Source organism: Homo sapiens, chromosome 19 (genome assembly GCF_000001405.40).
Source record: "Homo sapiens chromosome 19, GRCh38.p14 Primary Assembly".
NCBI lineage: Eukaryota > Metazoa > Chordata > Mammalia > Primates > Hominidae > Homo > Homo sapiens.
The window spans coordinates 36875430-36895646 of NC_000019.10; the positions used below are offsets into that span (position 1 = coordinate 36875430).

At 37.4% G+C, this 20217-nt stretch overlaps 2 protein-coding genes across 18 annotated transcripts in view, besides 2 other annotated features; one reads left to right on the forward strand and one right to left on the reverse strand.

Annotated features, from left to right (window-relative positions):
• The window catches only part of ZNF345 (zinc finger protein 345), a 42854-nt gene extending 25065 nt beyond the window's left edge, over window positions 1–17789 (forward strand). For 13 of the 14 annotated variants that reach the window (XM_047438566.1, XM_017026568.2, XM_017026573.2 and 10 more), the window contains one exon: window positions 1356–4146. In XM_047438566.1, the coding sequence (XP_047294522.1) occupies window positions 1402–2868 (1467 nt within the window). In that variant the 5' untranslated portion in view covers window positions 1356–1401 and the 3' untranslated portion in view covers window positions 2869–4146. Of the gene's footprint in view, window positions 1–1355; window positions 4147–17388 lie in introns of those variants that run through there. The other variant, NR_038362.2, reaches the window with a different exon arrangement.
• Window positions 2003–3202: an enhancer, noted in NCBI's record as "P300/CBP strongly-dependent group 1 enhancer chr19:37368334-37369533 (GRCh37/hg19 assembly coordinates)". NCBI's record gives its function as "activates an origin of replication core promoter dependent on BRD2, BRD4, P300/CBP, MED14 and CDK7 cofactors, with strong dependence on P300/CBP, by STARR-seq in HCT116 cells {active_cell/tissue: HCT116}" and the evidence as "EXISTENCE:reporter gene assay evidence [ECO:0000049][PMID:35650434]".
• Window positions 12695–20217, reverse strand: part of ZNF829 (zinc finger protein 829) — a 28168-nt gene continuing 20645 nt past the window's right edge. For all 4 annotated transcript variants that reach the window (XM_011526933.3, NM_001037232.4, XM_005258876.4 and 1 more), the window contains exon 6: window positions 12695–17042. In XM_011526933.3, the coding sequence (XP_011525235.1) occupies window positions 16063–17042 (980 nt within the window). In that variant the 3' untranslated portion in view covers window positions 12695–16062. The remainder of the gene's footprint in view (window positions 17043–20217) is intronic.
• Window positions 15998–17197: an enhancer, noted in NCBI's record as "P300/CBP strongly-dependent group 1 enhancer chr19:37382329-37383528 (GRCh37/hg19 assembly coordinates)". NCBI's record gives its function as "activates an origin of replication core promoter dependent on BRD2, BRD4, P300/CBP, MED14 and CDK7 cofactors, with strong dependence on P300/CBP, by STARR-seq in HCT116 cells {active_cell/tissue: HCT116}" and the evidence as "EXISTENCE:reporter gene assay evidence [ECO:0000049][PMID:35650434]".

The following is a 20217-nucleotide window of genomic DNA, read 5'->3' on the forward strand; positions in this document are numbered from 1 at the left end:
GTTTTGTGCATTTGAAGAACTATGAAGACTACATAGTAGCTACAGCTTATTGTTGGGTGGGGGGTGCAGGGAGGGATATTAGGTTGAAGAGACAGGCAGATCACTGAGGAACTTTTAAGAGCGAGTTCATTTTGAGCAGAACAGTTCCAGGCTAAATATCACTCTGGGTGCTAAGGGTGCAAAACTGGAAATGCAGGCAGGTAGAAGAAATGCTGGTTTAGTGTCCAAGCAAAAGATAATTTTGATTTGGATTAGCCAGTTGGAGACTGAAAGAACAATTTCAAGACATATTTAGACCTGCTCTAAACAGGATTGTTATGTAAGTTGTAGAAAGAGATTGGTGCCGAATGTTTTCACTTTTTGGGATTTGAGGTATTCACTCAGGGCCTTAGATAGTATCTTTAAATCCATTCCCTTTCCTAGCCTCTACTTTTGAGGCAAATAAGTCTCCCAAAATAATAAGCACTGCATAGTTACTTTATGCAAGTATGTAAGTAGATTTGGTGTGATCAGAATCATTCCATAATCATCAAAGATGAGGTTCAGGATATTTATATATCTTCATCTTTCTTGCAGTCTTCTAGTAGTATCACATTGCCTCCTGTCTTGTCTTCCCTTTCCTCTTATGTTAAAACCAGATTCTGTTCCTCTGCTGTAGCCCTTACTGAGCTCCATCTTCTCTCAATGTTATCATCATAGAATTTGGAGGCAAACTTATTTCTTAAATGGCATAAACAAACCACATTCTAACCACAGATGAATCTTCCCTCTCCATAGCTCATTCCATACTCATTTAGCACATTAGTCTTTCATTGGGAAACTGCTCTTTGTGGATTATCTTTCTTTTCTGTCTCCATCAGTTTATATGCAAATTATGTTTATTACTGAAACATCCCAGATTTCCCACCCCAGGAAAAATGTAGTACTCCCAACAACCCTGATAAATGAATATGAGAATTACTCTCATTTATAAATGTTTATAGCACTAGATTCATCTCTTAAAAAATTAAGACAGGGCCAGGACATCTGTATAATTACCAAGCTTTCAAAGTCTGCAGGACTTTTAAACTAAACTAAACTACTATTTAAAACTACTATTTTAAATAAATATCTAAACTACTATTTAAAAATAATCTGTTTCCTGAAAACCTCCTCCACTTTCTAGTCTGACTTTTACTCATTTTCTCTGCTTCCCTAATCTGTTTTTCAAATTGCCCAGTCATATGTGAGAACTGTATAAACCACTCAATTTTTATGAAAATTAAATTGTAGTTAAGTCTTTCGTATCTATTATAAACGTTTAATCTCTCCCAGAACACAAAAAAGTGAATGTTTGCTTTTATATTTTCTTTCAGACTATGAATCAAAGTTGAGACCAAGAAATTATTTCTGAAAAAGGATATGGAAAACCTTACAAAACACAGCATTGAGTGTTCAAGTTTCAGAGGTGATTGGGAATGTAAAAACCAGTTTGAGAGAAAACAGGGATCTCAGGAAGGACATTTCAGTGAAATGATATTTACTCCTGAAGACATGCCCACTTTCAGTATCCAGCATCAGAGAATTCATACTGATGAGAAACTCCTTGAATGTAAGGAATGTGGGAAGGATTTTAGTTTTGTATCAGTCCTTGTTCGACATCAGCGAATTCATACTGGTGAGAAACCTTATGAATGCAAAGAATGTGGCAAGGCCTTTGGTAGTGGTGCAAACCTTGCTTACCATCAAAGAATTCATACTGGTGAGAAGCCTTTTGAATGTAAAGAATGTGGGAAGGCCTTTGGTAGTGGCTCAAACCTTACTCACCATCAGAGAATTCATACTGGTGAGAAACCCTATGAGTGTAAGGAATGTGGGAAAGCCTTTAGTTTTGGATCAGGCCTTATTCGACATCAGATCATTCACAGTGGTGAGAAGCCTTATGAGTGTAAGGAATGTGGGAAGTCCTTTAGTTTTGAATCAGCCCTTATTCGGCATCACAGAATTCACACAGGTGAGAAACCTTATGAATGTATAGATTGTGGTAAAGCCTTTGGCAGTGGTTCAAACCTTACTCAACATCGGCGGATTCATACTGGTGAGAAACCTTATGAATGCAAAGCATGTGGAATGGCCTTTAGCAGTGGTTCGGCTCTTACTCGGCATCAGAGAATTCATACCGGTGAGAAACCATATATATGTAATGAATGTGGTAAGGCCTTTAGTTTTGGATCAGCCCTTACTCGACATCAAAGAATTCATACTGGTGAGAAACCTTATGTATGTAAGGAATGTGGGAAGGCTTTTAATAGTGGCTCAGATCTCACTCAGCATCAGAGAATTCACACTGGTGAGAAACCCTATGAGTGTAAGGAGTGTGAGAAAGCCTTTAGAAGTGGTTCAAAACTTATTCAGCATCAAAGAATGCATACTGGAGAGAAACCTTATGAATGTAAGGAATGTGGGAAGACCTTTAGTAGTGGTTCAGACCTTACTCAACATCACAGAATTCATACTGGTGAGAAACCCTATGAATGTAAGGAATGTGGGAAGGCCTTTGGTAGTGGCTCAAAACTTATCCAACACCAGCTAATCCATACTGGTGAAAGACCCTATGAATGTAAAGAATGTGGAAAGTCCTTTAGTAGTGGTTCAGCTCTTAATCGGCACCAGAGAATACACACTGGTGAGAAACCCTATGAATGTAAGGAGTGTGGGAAGGCTTTTTATAGTGGCTCAAGCCTTACTCAGCATCAGAGAATTCATACAGGTGAGAAACTTTATGAATGTAAGAACTGTGGGAAGGCTTATGGGAGGGATTCAGAGTTTCAGCAACATAAGAAAAGTCATAATGGTAAGAAACTCTGCGAATTGGAAACTATAAATTGAAATTATGTGCTGAAGGAAGGACTCTAAACATATGACTTAAGAAAATTCATAGTGGTGAAAATCTCTACAAATAGAACTAAGGTACAAATGCCTTACTTATGCTTCACAGGTTAGTCAGTCTAAGAATATTTATACAGGAAAAAAATCACCCCAAATAAAATAAATATTTGAAGATCCTTATCTATATTCATTCCTTCATTACTTTTGGAAAATTCTTACTTGTGAATGTTAAAAATGAAAAAAAAATCATTTATTATATTTTGCCTCAACTTTAAACATTGGAAAACTCATTTCTGGGTTAATCCTACTATATTTTTTCAATGGTCTTTTTTTTTTGTATTATACAGAATTACTGATTCATTGAAAAATTATTTTATTTATTGCAAGTCTAAATTTATCCTTTTTTTCTTTCCTGATTATCCTAACACCATTTATTCAATAACCTTGTCCATTTTCATATTTTTTTTATTGACTATTTGATGGTAAGTTACATTTTTATTCACATAAAGCTTGGATATCAGGTCAGTGTTTTTTTGTTTTTGTTTTTGTTTTTGTTTTTTTGAGATGGAGTCTCACTGTCACCAGGCTGGAGTGCAGTGGTGCAATCTCGGTTCACTGCAACCTCCACCTCCCGAGTTCAAGTGATTTTCCTGCCTCAGCTCCCCAGTAGCTGGGACTACAGGCGCCCGCCACCACGCCCAGCTAATTTTTTGTATTTTCATTAGAGATGGGGTTTCACCACGTTGGCCAGGATGGTCTCGATCTCTTGACCTCGTGATCCATCTGCCTCGGCCTCCCAACGTGCTGGAATTACAGGCATGAGCCACCATGCCTGGCCCAGTGTTTGTTTTTTAAATTTATATATATGTATCTATGTCTCATCCTGTTTATGGTCAATAACTGTTACTTTTAAGTATCCTTTAATACCTGTACCTTTTGTTTTAGAAGATTGTTTACTTTCCTTTTATAAAATTATACTCTCCATTTTAGCAAAACAGCTTTCCCTCATCATAATGTAGATAAAAAGAAAAAAAGGATATGGTTACCTGTAATCTTACCAATCATAGATAATCACTGTCAAACTTTTGGAGCAAATCCTTTAATACTATCTCTCATTGTTTTGGAAACAAGGTGTGATTATGCTATACTATAACCAGCCCTTAATATTTTTTGTCTGTAAATATGTTGTTACCATTTTATTGGCTTTATAGTATTCACCTGTCTTTATCAAACCCCAATTTTGTCAAATATTAAAAATTTTGCCATTATAAACACTTACCTTGATGGCCCCTTTTCAGTGTGTCTGATTTATTTATTTATTGTTCATTTCAGAGATAATGTATCAATTGCTTTTGCATATAAAAGATTTTTACATTACAGATAAAGCCGGCCTTTCCTTTGAGCAGCATTCCTGGCCTCAGTTCCTTTCCAATGTTAACCAATTTACTTATTCTTCCAGATCCTTTTATATGCATCTGTAACATACCTATGGTAATGTGGGTAGAATCAATACCTCAGAGCCTTATTGTGTGGATTCTATAATTGTGCCTATCACATAATAAATGCTTAGTGAATGTTACCCATCACTATTATCTTCTCAAGCTTCATCTTTATTATTTCTAGAAAAACTTTTAGCCATGATCCATACCTTACTCAACAACAAAGACCTCATAATGGAGAAAGACATTCATTTAAATGAATGTAGGGAAAATTTGATTGACATTCTTTCCTTGTTGAATAAGAATATTTGCTGCCAGGCACAGTGGCTCACACCTGTAATTTCAGCACTTTGGGAGGCCAAGGTGGGTGGATCACTTGAGGCCAGGAGCCTAGCCAACATGGTGAAACCCCATCTCTATTAAAAATACAAAAATTAGCCAGGCATGGTGGCGTGTGCCTGTAGTTCCAGCTACTCGGGAGTCTGAGGCATAAGGATTGCTTGAACCTGTGGAGGTTGCAGTGAACCAAGATTGCACCACTGAACTCCAACCTGGGTGACAGAGCAAGGCTCTGTCTCAGAACAAAATAAAAATAAATAAATAAAAAATTGTCCTACAGAAAAAATAATAAGATTATAAAGTGTGAGAAGACAAATACACTATAAAATTTGTACCAGGGTAGAAGTAAAAAAACTAGCAGTTTTCTCCATTGAAATCCAAATATTAATTCAGTACTCATCTGCATGATTCTTTGCTTAAAAATAAAATGCAGGCAGGCACAGTAACTCTTGCCTGAAATCTCAGCACTTTGGGAGGCTGAGGCAGGAGGATTGCTGGAAGCCTGGAGTTTGAGACCAGCCTGGGTAACATAGCAAGCCCCCATCTCTACAATAAAAGTTTTAAAAATGAGCCAGGCATGGTGGCCTCCAGCTACCAGAGGCTGAGGTGGGAGGATCAGTTGAGCCCAGGAATTCAAGGCCTCAGTGCACTATTATTGTGCCACTGCACTCCAGCCTGGAAAACAGAATAAGATCCTGTCTCTAAAAATAAATGAGTAAATTAACTAAAATCAAATACATTATTTTTTAAATAAGTGGCACTGAATAGATTACATAGCAAAACCTGTGAGGACCTGTAATATACAGAGGAAATTTTATAGCTCTAAATTCATTCATTTGTTAGAATGTTAAAGAAATTATAAATAAAGAAACCAAGCATATAACCCAAGAAGCTGGAGAAAGAATAACTACAACAAAAACCCTAAGGATAATGGGAGGGAAAAATAATTTTAGAATAAAAAAAGCTAGATCAATCACAACCTAATGTTTTGAAAACAAAAATAGTAGCAGTTCTCATAAATAAAGGTATATGAACATGAATGCAAAAGCGACATTACTCTAGAGACTTTACAGATTACAGGTTGAGCATGCTTAATTTGAAAATTCAATATCTGAAATGCTCCAAATTCCAAAACTTTTTGAGCTCAACATTATGCTCAAAGATAATTTCAGACTTCTGGATTAAGTATGCTCACCTGGTAAATATAATGCAAATATTCCAAAATCCAAAACACTTCTGGTCCCAAGCATTTTGAGGGATACTCAGCTTATGTTTATTACGATTACATGTAACCTTTTAATAATTATTTTGAAAATTGAACATTTTAGTAAAAGGATTTTAATCACCAGAACTGACTCAAAGTGGCATAGAAATGGGTATTATATAAGGGATATAAAGCAAAAACTATATCTAGGAAGGCTGGGGAAAAAAACCCTGTAGCCAAAGTCTCTTTTATACCCCCCAGTCAGGTCCCTTGAGTGAATATTCTGGCATTCAATCACATTTTGCATTGGAAAGAGCAAAAGATGAAAATATATCAGCATTAGTATATTTTATGTCTTTTTAATTTGAGGTAATTAGATTTTTTAATTTTTAAAAAGAATGGAATAGGAATCATTAAAAACAGACTAAAGTAACATGAAATCTTAAGATGCTACATATAAAATACATCACTTTAAATATGAAACTAATTTTTAAAGTCCTGCAGATTAATCTGTTGGAGATATATATTGAAACCCACTTTCAGAGACATTAAAATGCGGGGTAAAAAGTGCATTTTAGAACTGATAAACTACTTCATCAATGATTTTAATGGTTCCTTTTCTTTAGATTTTCAAATTCGTTGATATTGGCAAACAGAATTGGCTTTCAGTTTTCAGTCTCTGTATATATATTTGTATTTCTACTCATAGTTTTATTTTTAAACCACTTTATTCCTCTAAATTGATTTGAAGGAGTCCCATTCATTTTACTTGTTTTTTTTTTAAAAAAAACCTTATCTGGGTTTTCTTCATGCTTTTGACTATTTTTGTTTGCTTTTTCTATTTCAAAAATATATTTCACTATTTTCTTTTTATTTGTGTGTATTTCTGTTGAGTACATGTGCTTGGTTAATATATTTTCAGTCTCTTTTAAATTGGAAGCATTTAAGGCTACAAGATTTCCTTTGAATATTGCTGTATCTGGGGCCCATGGTTTTTTTTTCTTCTTGAGATGGAGTCTCGCTCTGTCACCAGGCTGGAGTGCAGTGGCGTGATCTCGGCTCACTGCAACCTCCGCCTCCCAGGTTCAAGTGATTCTCCTGCCTCAGCCTCCTGAGTAGCTGGGACTACAGGCATGCGCCACCACGCCTGGCTAATTTTTGTATTTTTTAGTAGAGACGGGGTTTTACCATGTTGGCCAGGATGGTCTCGATCTCTTGACCTCGTGATCCGCCCGCCTCGGCCTCCCAAAGTGCTGGGATTACAGGCGTGAGCCACTGCACCTGGCCCCATAGTTTTTTAAAAATTAACTTCTAGATAATTATTATTTTAATCTTGATTTCTCTTTGATTCACTAGTTACCTAGGTGTCTGTATGTTTGTGTGTGTTTCTAAATTTTCAAAAACCTGTGAAAAAAATTTAGCATATGAACTTATAATGTGTGTGATCTGTGAAACTTCATTAAAAAGTTAAAACATTAATTTATTATTTGTGGCCAAATATACGTTAGGTTTTTAATACATTTTATAGATATATGATGTGAAATAATATATATTCTCTATAAAACACAAAGTTCTACTTAATTATATTAAGCTTCGTGATTATATTATTTAAATATCCTCTGATTATTTTGTTTAATTCTGAAAAGTGGGCACAAAACGCCCAGCTATATTGTTTCAAGGTCTTCTGTTAATATAGGGGTTTTACTTTTTATGTTTGGTTGCTGTATTTTTCACTGTGATGTTGAATTCCAATTTCTCTAATATTGAAAATTCTGCTTTGGCCAGTAGAGCTGCACTAGGTCTGTTGTGTCAGCTTGTTCTAGGTATATATCCTTATAAACACCATATAGTTAGTGTTTTATTTTTAACCCAATTTGTTTTTGTATTTTAATTGGAGAACACCATATATCTATAGGCAGGCTTACTCAATTTCTATGAAATCACCTTTTAAAATATCTTTTTCTATTAAAGAGCAGAAAAGTAACTAAAATTCTCAAACTCTGTTGCTCTTTCCTATGTAGCTACTCGTCATGGTCATTTAATGCATCGTTTCTCTTCATCTCTCTGTTCCCTAAAGATTGAAGTTTTCTAAGACTCAGCCTCTGACACATTTACTAATTATACTTAATTGTTCCTTGGTGATTTCACCCCCGTGGGTTTGTTTCCCTTGAACTCCACACTCACTACGTTCAGTAGCCTTCTCTACACTACTTGAATTATTTTTATTTAGGTATATAAAATACTGGTGGCAATAGCATAAATTCTAAGTGTTAAACTTGATGAAGTAATATTGTACACCTATGTAAGCACTGCCCAGACTGATATACATTTACAGCCTAAGGAGGCTTCTTTGTGCTGCTTTGCTATTAATATTCCATTGCCCAGAAATAGCCCCTCTCCTAATTTCCATAACCAGAGATAAGCTTACATGTTTTTCCACTTCATGTAAATGGAATCGTACGCTGAACCCTTTTTGTGTCTGGTTTCTTTTGCTCAACATTATTTCATGCAACAATAAGGATGGCTCTCTCAGACATAATATTCATTTTTATTTATGTAGTGTTTTATGGGAATTGCACTGAGTTAGAGAAACTGAAGTCTGAAGGAATAGTTTCCACAAGACTGCCCTCATTTCAGACACCAGGCACAAGTTCAGAGGTTCCAAGGGCTACCCATACTTCAGACCAGCTGACTACAAATTTGGGACTTGTCATGACTACCCTTGATAATTCAGTATAATAATTCACAGAACTCAAGATAATACTATACCTATGATTACAACTTATTTATTTTTATTTTTTTTGAGACAGAGTCTTGCTCCTGTTGCCCCGGCTGGAGTGCAGTGGCACGATCTCGGCTCACTGCAACCTCCGCCTCCTGGGTTCAAGCGATTCTCCTGCCTCAGCCTCGTGAGTAGCTGGGATTACAGGCACCCACCACCATGCCCAGCTAAATTTTTGTACTTTTAGTAGAGACGAGGTTTCACCATGTTGGTCTTGAACTCCTGACCACAAGTGATCTGCCCACCTCAGCCTCCCAAAGTGCTGGGATTACAGGCATGAGCCACCGCACCTGGCCTATGATTACAACCTTATTATAGTGAAAGGATACAAATTACAACTAGCCAGAGGAAGAGACACATAGAATGAAGTCTGAGAGGGGTCCAAAGATGAGTCTTCTGGTCATCCTATCCCTATGGAGTCCTGGATGGCATTACCTCCTTCCAGCTACAATGTGTACTGATAAGTGTTGCAATCCAGGGAAGCTCACCTTAGCCTTTGGTTTCCAGTGTTTTTCTTGGGGTTTGATAATATACTGCCCACATAGCTGACCTTTGTCTTTCTGCCCTTCTTGCTGGTTTGTCTAATACTGTTTGTCTGCCATTTCCCCAGAAGTCAAAACTGAGATAGCATGCCTCAAAGCACTCATCATAAATCATGTTATACTGTCGGGTGGCCATCCAAAGCACCCAGCCAAACCAAGACACTGTTATTGGGCAGGACATTCCAGAGGCCTAGAGTACCCCCAGTGGGCCTCCCAGTACCCAAGGTAAAGGCAAGACCTCTCTTTGGGTGAAGTTAATTTATCACTATACAGGAATATACTTTGACTTACTCATTCTTTCGTTGATGGGTATCTGTATTGTTTCTACAACTCTGGGAACCTTCTTATACATGTCTTTATGTAGACATATTTACTCTTTTCTATTGGCAGTATACTTCAGAATGGAATTGCTGAGTCAGAGATAGGCTATATTTAGTAAATGTCAGTTTTCCAAAGTGATTGTGCAAATTTACACTCCCACAAAGAATCTGTAAGGGTTTCATTTGCTGTATGTCCTCTTCACACTTAGTATTGTATAGTCATTCTAATGGGACTATACTAATGTATTAGTTACTAGAATTATATATAGAAATATTATATAACTATTATATAGTTATATAAGTATGTAGAAAGTTACATTTTCACTTCCAATGACTAATAATGTTGAATACCTTTTCATATGCTTGCTTACTAGCTTTTTTGATATCTTGTATGCAGGGTTGGTAAGACTTTGGCCGTTTTAAATGCGTATCGTGTCTTTTCCTTATTGCTTTGTGTGAATTCTTTGTGTATTTTGGATCTGATTTGTTTGCTAGATATGTATGTTGCAAATGCCTTTTGCTTTGTGGCTTGCATTTCCACTCTCTTAAAGGTATGGGTTGATGAATTGGAGTTTTTAATTTTAATGAACTCCTGTTTATCAACCTTTTTCTATATATGGTTAGAACTTTGAGTCTTAAATGTTTGTGTGCGTGTGTGTGTGTGTTTCATGCCTACAAACTTATGAAGGTATTCTCTTTCTTCCCCTAGAGGCTTTATTTCACCACTCACATCTTGCCTGGGATTACAGGTGTGAGCCACCGTGCCTGGCCTATGATTACAACTTTATTATAGTGAAAGGATACATATTTCAACTAGCCACAGGAAGAGACACATAGAATGAAGTCTGAGAGAAGTTTGGTGTACAGTATGAGATTTAGTGGGTCAAGTTTAATTATCAATACTGCTACGGATATCCAAGTTAATCCAGTGTTATGTAATGAAAAGTAAATTCTTTCCCCCCAGTTATATTCCAATTCTACCCGCCTCTCATCACCTTTCCTGATACCATCCTGATCCTAACCATGGTTATGTTACTTAGATGTTTATAATAACCTAATTTGTCTGTTTGTGTAGCTTTCAGGGCGTTCACAACAGCATAGCCACAGTGATTTAGATGATATCACTCCAAGAAAATTTGAGCAACAAATAAAGTGGTATTGGATTATAACCCGAAGTATAAAATAAATATCCATGCATTCATACTGATATGACTATATTATCAGATAAATAACTAAATAAATGGAGAAGAGATAAATCTCCAGTACAGAATTCTAAATAATTTATGTAGATATTCTGCCTTCAGGAAAGTGGAGCATAACCCCGCTCCTTAAGTACGTGCTGTGCATAGTGACTTCCAAAGATGACTGTATGGGAAAAGGGAGAAAAGACTAAATTTACACTGGAGAAACTTGACAAACACTCCCTCACTCAGGTGATCAAGACCAACAAAAAGTCATCATGCTGATAGTATGAATCTTTGATATCTATGAGGAAAATGGCACTTTACCTCTGTGATCTTCCTCCTGCAAACAACCTCAGTCTAATCATGAGAAAAACATCAGTCAGATCTTAGCGGAGGAACATTCTACGCTATACTGACCTCCTCAAAATAGTTAAGGTCATTTAAAATGAGGAAGAGGGCCAGGCCCGCTGGCTCATGCCTATAATCCCAGCACTTTGGGAGGCCGAGGAGGGTGGATCACCTGAGGTCAGGAGTTCGAGACCAGCCTGGCCAACATGGTGAAGCCCCGTCTCTACTAAAAATACAAAAATTAGCTGGGGGCCGGGCGCGGTGGCTCACGCCTGTAATCCCAGCACTTTGGGAGGCCGAGGCGGGCGGATCACGAGGTCAGGAGATCGAGACCATCCTGGCTAACACGGTGAAACCCCGTCTCTACTAAAAAAAAAAAATACAAAAAATTAGCCGGGCGTGGTGGTGGGCGCCTGTAATCCCAGCTACTCGGGAGGCTGAGGCAGGAGAATGGCATGAACCCAAGAGGCGGAGCTTGCAGTGAGCCGGGATAGCGCCACTGCAGTCCAGCTTGGGCGAAAGAGTGAGACTCCGTCTCAAAAAAAAAAAAAAAAAAAATTAGCTGGGGGTGGTGGTGGGTGCCTGTAATCCCAGCTACTCGGGAGGCTGAGGCAGGAGATCCACTTGAACCCGGGATTCACTGCAGAGATTGCAGTGAGCTGAGACCGCACCATTGCACTCCAGCCTGAGCAACGAGCAAAACTCCATCTCAAAAAACACCACCACCACCACCACCACCACCAACAACAACAAAAAAAACAAGGAAGAAACTGTCACAGCCAACAGTAACCTAAGGGGAAATGATGACTAAATGCAATGTGTTCTCCTGCTTAGAATGCTGGAACAGAAAAAGGAAGAAAAGCTTAAAAACCTAAGAACATTTGGAATAAAGTGTAAGCTTTAGCTAATAATAATGTACCAATACTTGTTAATTAATTGTAACAAATGTACCATATAATGTAAGATGTTTTTAGTAGTAGGGGAAACTAGGTGTAGGGTATATGGGAATTCTCTCTATTGCTTTTATAATTATTCTGTAAATCTAAAAACTGTTCTAAAACAAATTATATATTTTACAATAGAGAATGAAGCTGAGTATTCAAATTATTTATAAATAGTCATTCCTGTGTATCCACAGAGCCGGATTTATCATGATTTGAGTAATGTTATTACATGGAGTCATTTACATCTATGATATTAGATCCATGTTTTACAAAAGGAACACACGTAGAGCCCAGACCACTGTTTCCTGACATGCTAGGCTAAAAGTCAAGATTCGAGACTCAGAATCATTTTGGTCCTCTTCAACATTTTACTCCATCTAATGGCACACTCTACTTATTGGGTCTCCTGAACTCTAGAGCCAGTAACAGTGATCCTAAAGTCATTCTCATGATTTTGCCTGAGGTACAATTTAAATTCTTGGATGACTCCAAATCTGCAGAAATATTAATCTAGAAAAAATAATAGTTATGTGTACAGGAAAAACTGTAAATTTTACTACATGTGAAAAAGATTTCTGCTTATTAAAAAATACCAAAGAGGCCAAAAGATTAGGAAAAGTTACTGAAACAACATATGACAAACACTAACCTTAATATATAAAGAAATATATATATTTCTTAAATATGTAAAGAAATTTGTAATCAGTAAAGATGACCAACAACGTGATGGTGAAACAGAAGAGTTTATAGTAACATGAACATGCCTGTTAAACATTTGAATAAATGATCAGTTTCTCATAACATAGAAATAGAAATGAAATTATAAATTGTGCTGTCTTGTTTGATCAAAAGTTTGATAAAACATTTAATAGTATACATATTCCAGGGAAGATGTTTCCTGTTCTATCTCCCAACACATACAGTGTTATTACCACAATATAGTGTCAAACCGTCAATGCAAAAATCTTTAATCTCCTTGCCCTGATGATATCTGTCTCTACAATATCCAGTACTCCCACGTCAATAAAATTTATACACCCATTTTCTGTTCCCACCTACCACACTAAATTCTTGTGATCTTTCTACTCTGCACTCTGAAATCCACAGTAACTTATTAGCATAATGCCCCCACCTTTTAAAAAAGCATTCTTAATTTGCCTTTTATTGTTTCTTAATTATAGGTTTAGGAAGTTACAAGGGCAGTTGTGTTACATACACATATAGTGTAGTGGGGAAAGTGTTGGCTTTTAATGGACTCATTACCTAAATAATGTACCTTGTACTAAATAGGATTTTTTTTGGTTTTTTTTTGAGATGGAGTCTGGCTTTGTTGCTCCCCCGGCTGGAGTGCAATGGCATAATCTCGGCTCACTGCAACCTCCACCTCCCACATTCAAGCAATTTGCTCTGTTGCCCAGGCTGGAGTGCAATGGCACTATCTCAGCTCACTGCAACCTCCGCTTCTCAGGTTCAAGTAATTCTCCTGCCTCAGCCTCCCAAGTAGCTGGGACTACAGTGCCTGCCACCATGCCCAGCCAATTTTTCTATTTTTAGTAGAGACAGGGTTTCGCCATGTCAGCCAGACTGGTCTCAAACTCTTGACATCATGTGATCTGCCCGCCTTGGCCTTGCAAAGTGCTGGGATTACAGGTGTGAGTGCCTGGCTTATTTTTAATTCTGTGTATGTGATGAATCATGTATTGAGTTGCATATGTTGAGCCATCCTTACACCCCAGGAATAAAATCCACTTGACTGTGCTGTTACTATCTTTTTTATGTACTGTTTGATTTGGTTTGCTAGTATTTTGCTGAAGATTTTTGTGTCTATTTTCATCAGGGATATTGGCTTGTAGTTTTTTTGTGTGTTTTATCCTTGCCTGGCTTCAGTATCAGGATGATACTGGCTTTGTAGAATGAGTTAGGGAGGATTCCCTCCTATAATTTTTGGAATAGTTTCAATAGTGCTGTTACTAGTTCTTCCTTGCATGTCTAGTAGAATTCAGCTGTGAATCTGTCTGGTCCTGGGCTTTTTGTTTTTGCAAGATTTTTTTCTATTACTGATTCAATTTCAATACTCAGTAGTCTGTTGAGGATTCCTATTTCTCCCTGGTTCAATCTTGGAAGGTTATGTGTTTCTAGGAATTTATCCACTTCCTCTAGGTTTTCTAATATGTGCATATAGTTTCTGCTGATATTTTATATGTCTGTGTTATCAGTTATAATATCACCTTATCATTTCTGATTGTATTTATTTGAATCTTCTTTTTTTCTTGGTTAATCTAGCTAGTGGTCTGTCAGTTTTATCTTTGCAAAGAACCAACTTTTTCTTTTATTGATCTTTTGCATTCCTTTGTTCTCAGTCTCATTTTTGCCTGCTCTGATATTTGTTATTGCTTTTCTTCTGCCAGCTTTGGGTTGAGTTTGTTTTGTTTTTTCCTAGTTCCTTGAGATGTGACGTTAGGCTATTCATTTGAGATTTTTCTATCTTTTTGGTGTAGGCATTTAATGCTATAAAATCCTCTCTTAGCACTGCTTTTGCTGTATCTCAGATGTTTTCATGTGTTTTGTCTCTATTTTCATTTATTTCAAAAAATTTTAAATTTCCACCTTAGTTTCATCATTGATCCAAAAATCATTCAGGAGCAAGCTGTTTAAATTCCATGTATCTGTTTTGAGAGTTCCTCTTGGTATTGATATCTAGTTTTATTCCACTATGGTCAGAGAAGATGTTAGATATGATTTTGTTTTTTTAAAATTTATTGATACTTGCTTTGTGGTCCAGTATATGACCTATTTTTGAGAATGTTCCATGCACAGAAGAGAAGAGTATATATTCTGTGGTTGTTGGGTAGAATGTTCTTCAGATGTCTGTTGGGTCCATTTGGTGTAGAGTCCAATTTAAGTCCAGAGTTTCTTTGTTGATTTCTGTCCCAGTGATCTGTCTAGTGCTGTCAATGGAGTGGTGAAGTCCCCTGCTATTGTTGTATTGCTGTCTATCTCTTTTCTTAGGTCTAGTAGTATCTGTGTTATGGATCTGGGTGTTGCAGTGTTGGGTGCATACATATTTAGGATTGTTTTATCTTCTTGTTGAATTTATCCTTTATCATTATAAATGACCTTCTTTGTCCTTTTTAATTTTTGTTGGTATAAAGTCTGTTTTGGCCATCACGGTGGCTCACGTCTGTAATCCCAGCACTTTGGGAGGCTGAGGCGGGCAGATCACTTGAAGTCAGGAGTTCAAGACCAGCCTGGCCAACATGGTGAAACCCCGTCGCTACTAAAAATACAAAAAAAAAAAAAAAAAAAATTAGCCGGGCATGGTGGCGCATGCCTGTAATCCCAACTACTTGAGAGGCTGAGGCACAAGAATCGCTTGAACTCAGGAGCTGGAGGTTGCAGTGAGCTGAGATCACACCACTGCACTCCAGCCTGGGCAACAGAGCGAGACTCTGTCTCAAAATAAAATAAAATAAAATAAATTTGACTAACAACTTATGTATAAAAGGAAATTACAAATATATTAGACAAAATCATTCTAACAGGGTATTATGGGTTGAACTGTATCCCCTAAAAAGATATGCTGAAGTCCTAACCCCTGGTACCGGTAAATGTGACCTTACTTGGAAACAGGGTCTTGGCAGATATAATCAAGTTAAGATGAGGTCACCAGGTAACCCCAATCTAACCTGACTGGTGTCCAAATAAAAGACATACACAGAGATACACAGCGAGAATGCAATGTGAAGATGGAGGCAGAGATTGGAATGGTGTATGTAAAAGCCATGGAATGCCAAGGACTGCCAGCTGTTAACAGAGGTTAGGAAAAAGGCATAGAACAGATCCTCAGAGTCCTCAGAAGGAACCAAAACGATCAGCACCCTTGAGTTTAGATTTCCAGGCTCTAAACTATGAGAGAATAAATTTCTCTTGTTTTAAGCCACCAAGGTTTTGGTACTTGGTACTTTGTTATCGTATCGTTTAAAAACGAATACATAGGAGAACCTTTGATAATATGTATCCTAATTTGTTCTCCTTACCTGTTTTAAAAAAATTATTATAAAGGTTAACAAAATGGTCTTACTTTACTGTCATTCAACCAGTATGAATTCCCTCATGGCGAATGAGGTCAGAGCGACTACCAAAAGCCTTTCCACATTCCTTACAGTCATAGGGTTTCTCACCAGTGTGAATTCTCTGATGTCGAGTAAGATTTGAGCCTTTATTAAAGGCCTTCCCACATTCATTACATTCATATGGTTTTTCATCTGTATGGATTCTCTGATGTTGAATAAGTTCTGAGCTCTGAATAAAGGCCTTTCTACATTCTTCACATTCATAGAGCTTCTCACCAGCATGAATTCTGTGATGGTTAGTAAGTGTTGAGGCACTATTAAAGGCCTTCCCACACTGCTTACATTCATAAGGTTTCTCACCAGTATGCATTCTCTGATGCTGAATAAGCCTTGAGTGTTGAGTAAAGGCTTTCCCACATTCTTTACATTCATAAGGTTTCTCACCAGTATGAATTCTCAGATGTAGAAAAAGTTGTGAACTTTTAGTAAAGGCTTTTCCACATACTTTACATTCATAGGGTTTCTCACCAGTGTGAATTCTCTGATGATCATTAAGGTTTGAGCAATACTTAAAGGCTTTTCCACATTCCTTACATTCATAGGGTTTCTCACCAGTGTGAATCCTCTGATGTTGAGAAAAATATGAACTACAACTAAAAGCCTTGCCACATTCCTTACATTCATAGGGTTTTTTACCAGTGTGAATCCTCTGATGTCGAGTAACGAGTGAGCCACGACTAAAGGACTTCCCATACTCCTTAGATTCATAGTGTTTTTCACCAAAATGAATTCTCTGATGTTGGATAAATTGTGAGTTTTGATTAAAGGTCTTTCCACATATCTTACATTCCCATGGTTTCTCTTCACTCATAGTTTTTTGAGGTGGAATAAGAAATGTGGGCTGAATAAAAGTAGACATGTCTTCACGGGTAATTATTACTTGACTGAAATGTCTCTTCTTTAGAGATAATATTTTGGTCTCACACATTGATTCCAGATCTGAAAGAAAATACAAAGGCAAATAAATTTTCCTATTCTGGGCAAGTTAAAACTTCTAAAAAAGAAATGGGAGAATTAAACTGAAAAGAATATCTGAGAAATTACACAGTTTTCAAAGGTGGAGAGGCAATCTGTAAAACTGACAAGAAAAGCACAGACATTAGGAGAGGTAATAAAAGAAGCTGAGGATGTGGATTCAGAAAGTAGATGACCTCTATGATCCTCAAATTTTGGTCTGAACCAGAGTCACCTTAAGCCTTGGTGAATACACAGTGTTCAGCACCATCCTCCATATTATAGAGAGATTCTAATTAAAAAAAAAAAATTTTTTTTGCCCCCACCCCAGATCCCCCACAGGCGCTGCCTGAGACCCAGCTCTGTGTCTCCTCGTCGTACAGCTTGTGGAGCTCCGACTGCAAGGCCATCAGCATGCCCAGGCAGGGGTTAAGCTGGAGGGCCATGGAGGAGGACAGGCCAGCAGGATGCCGCTTCTGCTCCAGGGCATGCACCATGCGTGAGATATTCTAATTATATACACGTTCATAAACATATGCTCACATGCACAGAGTATGATACTGTATGTTTTGCAATTCGTAGATAACTGTCAGACCTACATGAAAGGACTGTTAAGAATAACAAATGTGTTGAAAGGTTTAAATGTCGGGGGCGGGTGGAGTTCAGTGACTGTGCAATGGTATACTGGCAAATCACCAGCCTCCGACAAATCTAATATGCTGAACACAACTGGTGGGAAGAGTAGACAGGTACATCTCTTCTGTGCATACAGCATGATATGGGCTAGGAACTCACTGAAAATAATTTGCTCTGGAATTCTGTGATGTTGACCTTGGGAGAAAGAAATGAATAATTCAAGTCATAGCAGTGATTGAGAAGGAAGGTGGCTCAAGTTTGAGACACAAGAGAGTTAAGATAGGATGAAATGTACTCTATGAGAAGAATGGAACTCCATGTCAACATATAAACAGTGAGCCCCAGTTCTATGCTTTAAGGCAACCTCTGAGCCCTCTTTTCCTTGTTTATTAAAATGGGACTGACACTTAACTTATGATTGCTAAAAAGATGAGGAATAACGTATATAAATAATCTGATATAAAGTAAGCACTCAGTATTGGTAGCTATTATTATGAAAAAATGTCATAGCAAAAACAGATATTGGGCAAATAAAATGGCTTGAAGACATCAAAATAAAGCCAGCTAGACTATCTTAAGTATTCCCTCCACACAATCATTGGCCAAACTTAGTCTGGGTGAGTCCCTAAAAATCTCTTAAAGTTGTCCTCATTTAATTACTGAATCCCCTCTTTCCTAGACCACTACAGGAATCTCCTAATGGTTTCCCCAGTATGTTCTAGCACCCTCTAATCCATTCAGCACCTGGTGTGATATTTGGTCTCACTTTGCCCTCCTGAAAATCTAAACTCCTTGGTAATTACCAAGAAGACTCCAATAATGAGGCTCTTGCCTACCTCTACAACCTTGTGTTATACTCCACTTCCACTTGCTCAAGAAGCCCCAGTCCTTCAAGCACCTCAAGTTCTCCCTGCCCCTCAGGGCCTTCCCACATGGATCTCCCCTTTACCTGGCATACCCCTCATCCTATCACCATTGTTGGCCCTGCTAACAATGAGAAAAGCCTCATCACAGCTTCCACTAACAACCAAGCCCTAAGCCACTGAGGAACTCACAGACACTGCTGACACTGATTGCAGCCAGAGAAATCATATGGAGATTATACCACTGCATCCACCTATAACAAAGCCAAAGCAACCTACCCAACCAACACTATAAATACATCTACAGGAAAAAGGTTTTCCTTATGAAAACAAATCCATAAAATTGGAAAAAATGACCATAACAAGAAATACACAGATATCAATGTAAGGATAAAAGAAACACGAAAAAGCATGGAACCATGACATCTCCAAAGTAATACAATAATGCTCCAGCAACAGATTCCAACAAACAAGAAATCTATCAAGTGCCTGAAAAAGAATTCAAAATAATGATATTAAAGAAGCTCAGTGGGAAACAATAGAACATGGATAAAAACCAAAAGAATCAGAAAAAACAATTCATGATCTGAATGAGAAATTCAGCAGATAGATATCATGAAAAAGAACCAAACAGAAGTCCTGAAACTGACAAATTTCAATGAATGAAATAAAAAACACAATTGAGAGCTTCAACAATAGACTAGATCAAGCAGAAGAAAGAATTTCTGAACTTGAGGACAGGGTTTTTTAAAAGAATCCAGGAAGAAAAAGTAAAAAATAATAATTTTTAAAACTGAAAAAAGCTTAGATGACATATGGGACATCATAAAGCAACCAAATATTCAAATTTTGGGTATTCTAGGAGAAGAGATGGGCAAAGGCATAAAAACCTATTTAACAAAATAACTGAAAACTTTCCAAGTCTTGTAAGCAATATAGACATCCTGATACAGAAGGCTCAATGATGCCCAAATAGATTCAATCCAAAAAGGTTTTCCAAGGCCCATTACAGTCAAACTGTCAAAAGTCAAAGACAGAGAATTCTAAAAAAAGCAAGAGAAAGGCATCAAGTCACATATAAGGGAACCCTCAGGCGTCAAGTCACATACAAGGGAACCCTCATCAGAACTAGTAGCAGATACCTTGGCAGAAACCTTCCATGCCAGGAAAGAATGGGATGATATATTCAAAGTGCTAAAAAAACACTGTCAGCCAAGAATACTGTACCTAGCAAAGCCATCCTTCAAAAATGAAGGAGAAAGTTTTTCCCAGAGAAAATGTATCACAACTAGGGTGGCCCGATCAAAAATGGCAAAGGGTGTCCTACATCTGGAAGTAAAAGACATATCTACCATCATTAAACAAATGAAAATAAGAAGCTCACTGGTAGAGCAGATACACAAATGGAAAGAGAAAGGACTCAGATGTAACCATTACATAAAACCACCAAACCAAATGATAAGAGGAAAGAAAAAGGATATAAAACAACCATAAAAAATTAACAGATTAGGAATAAATCCTCACCTATTAATAATAACCTTGAATGTAAACAGTCAAATTCCCCACTTAAAAGATACAGTCTGGTTGAATGGATAAAATAAATATGACTCACCTATATACTGGCTGTGAGAAACTCACTTTATATATAAAATCATAGACTG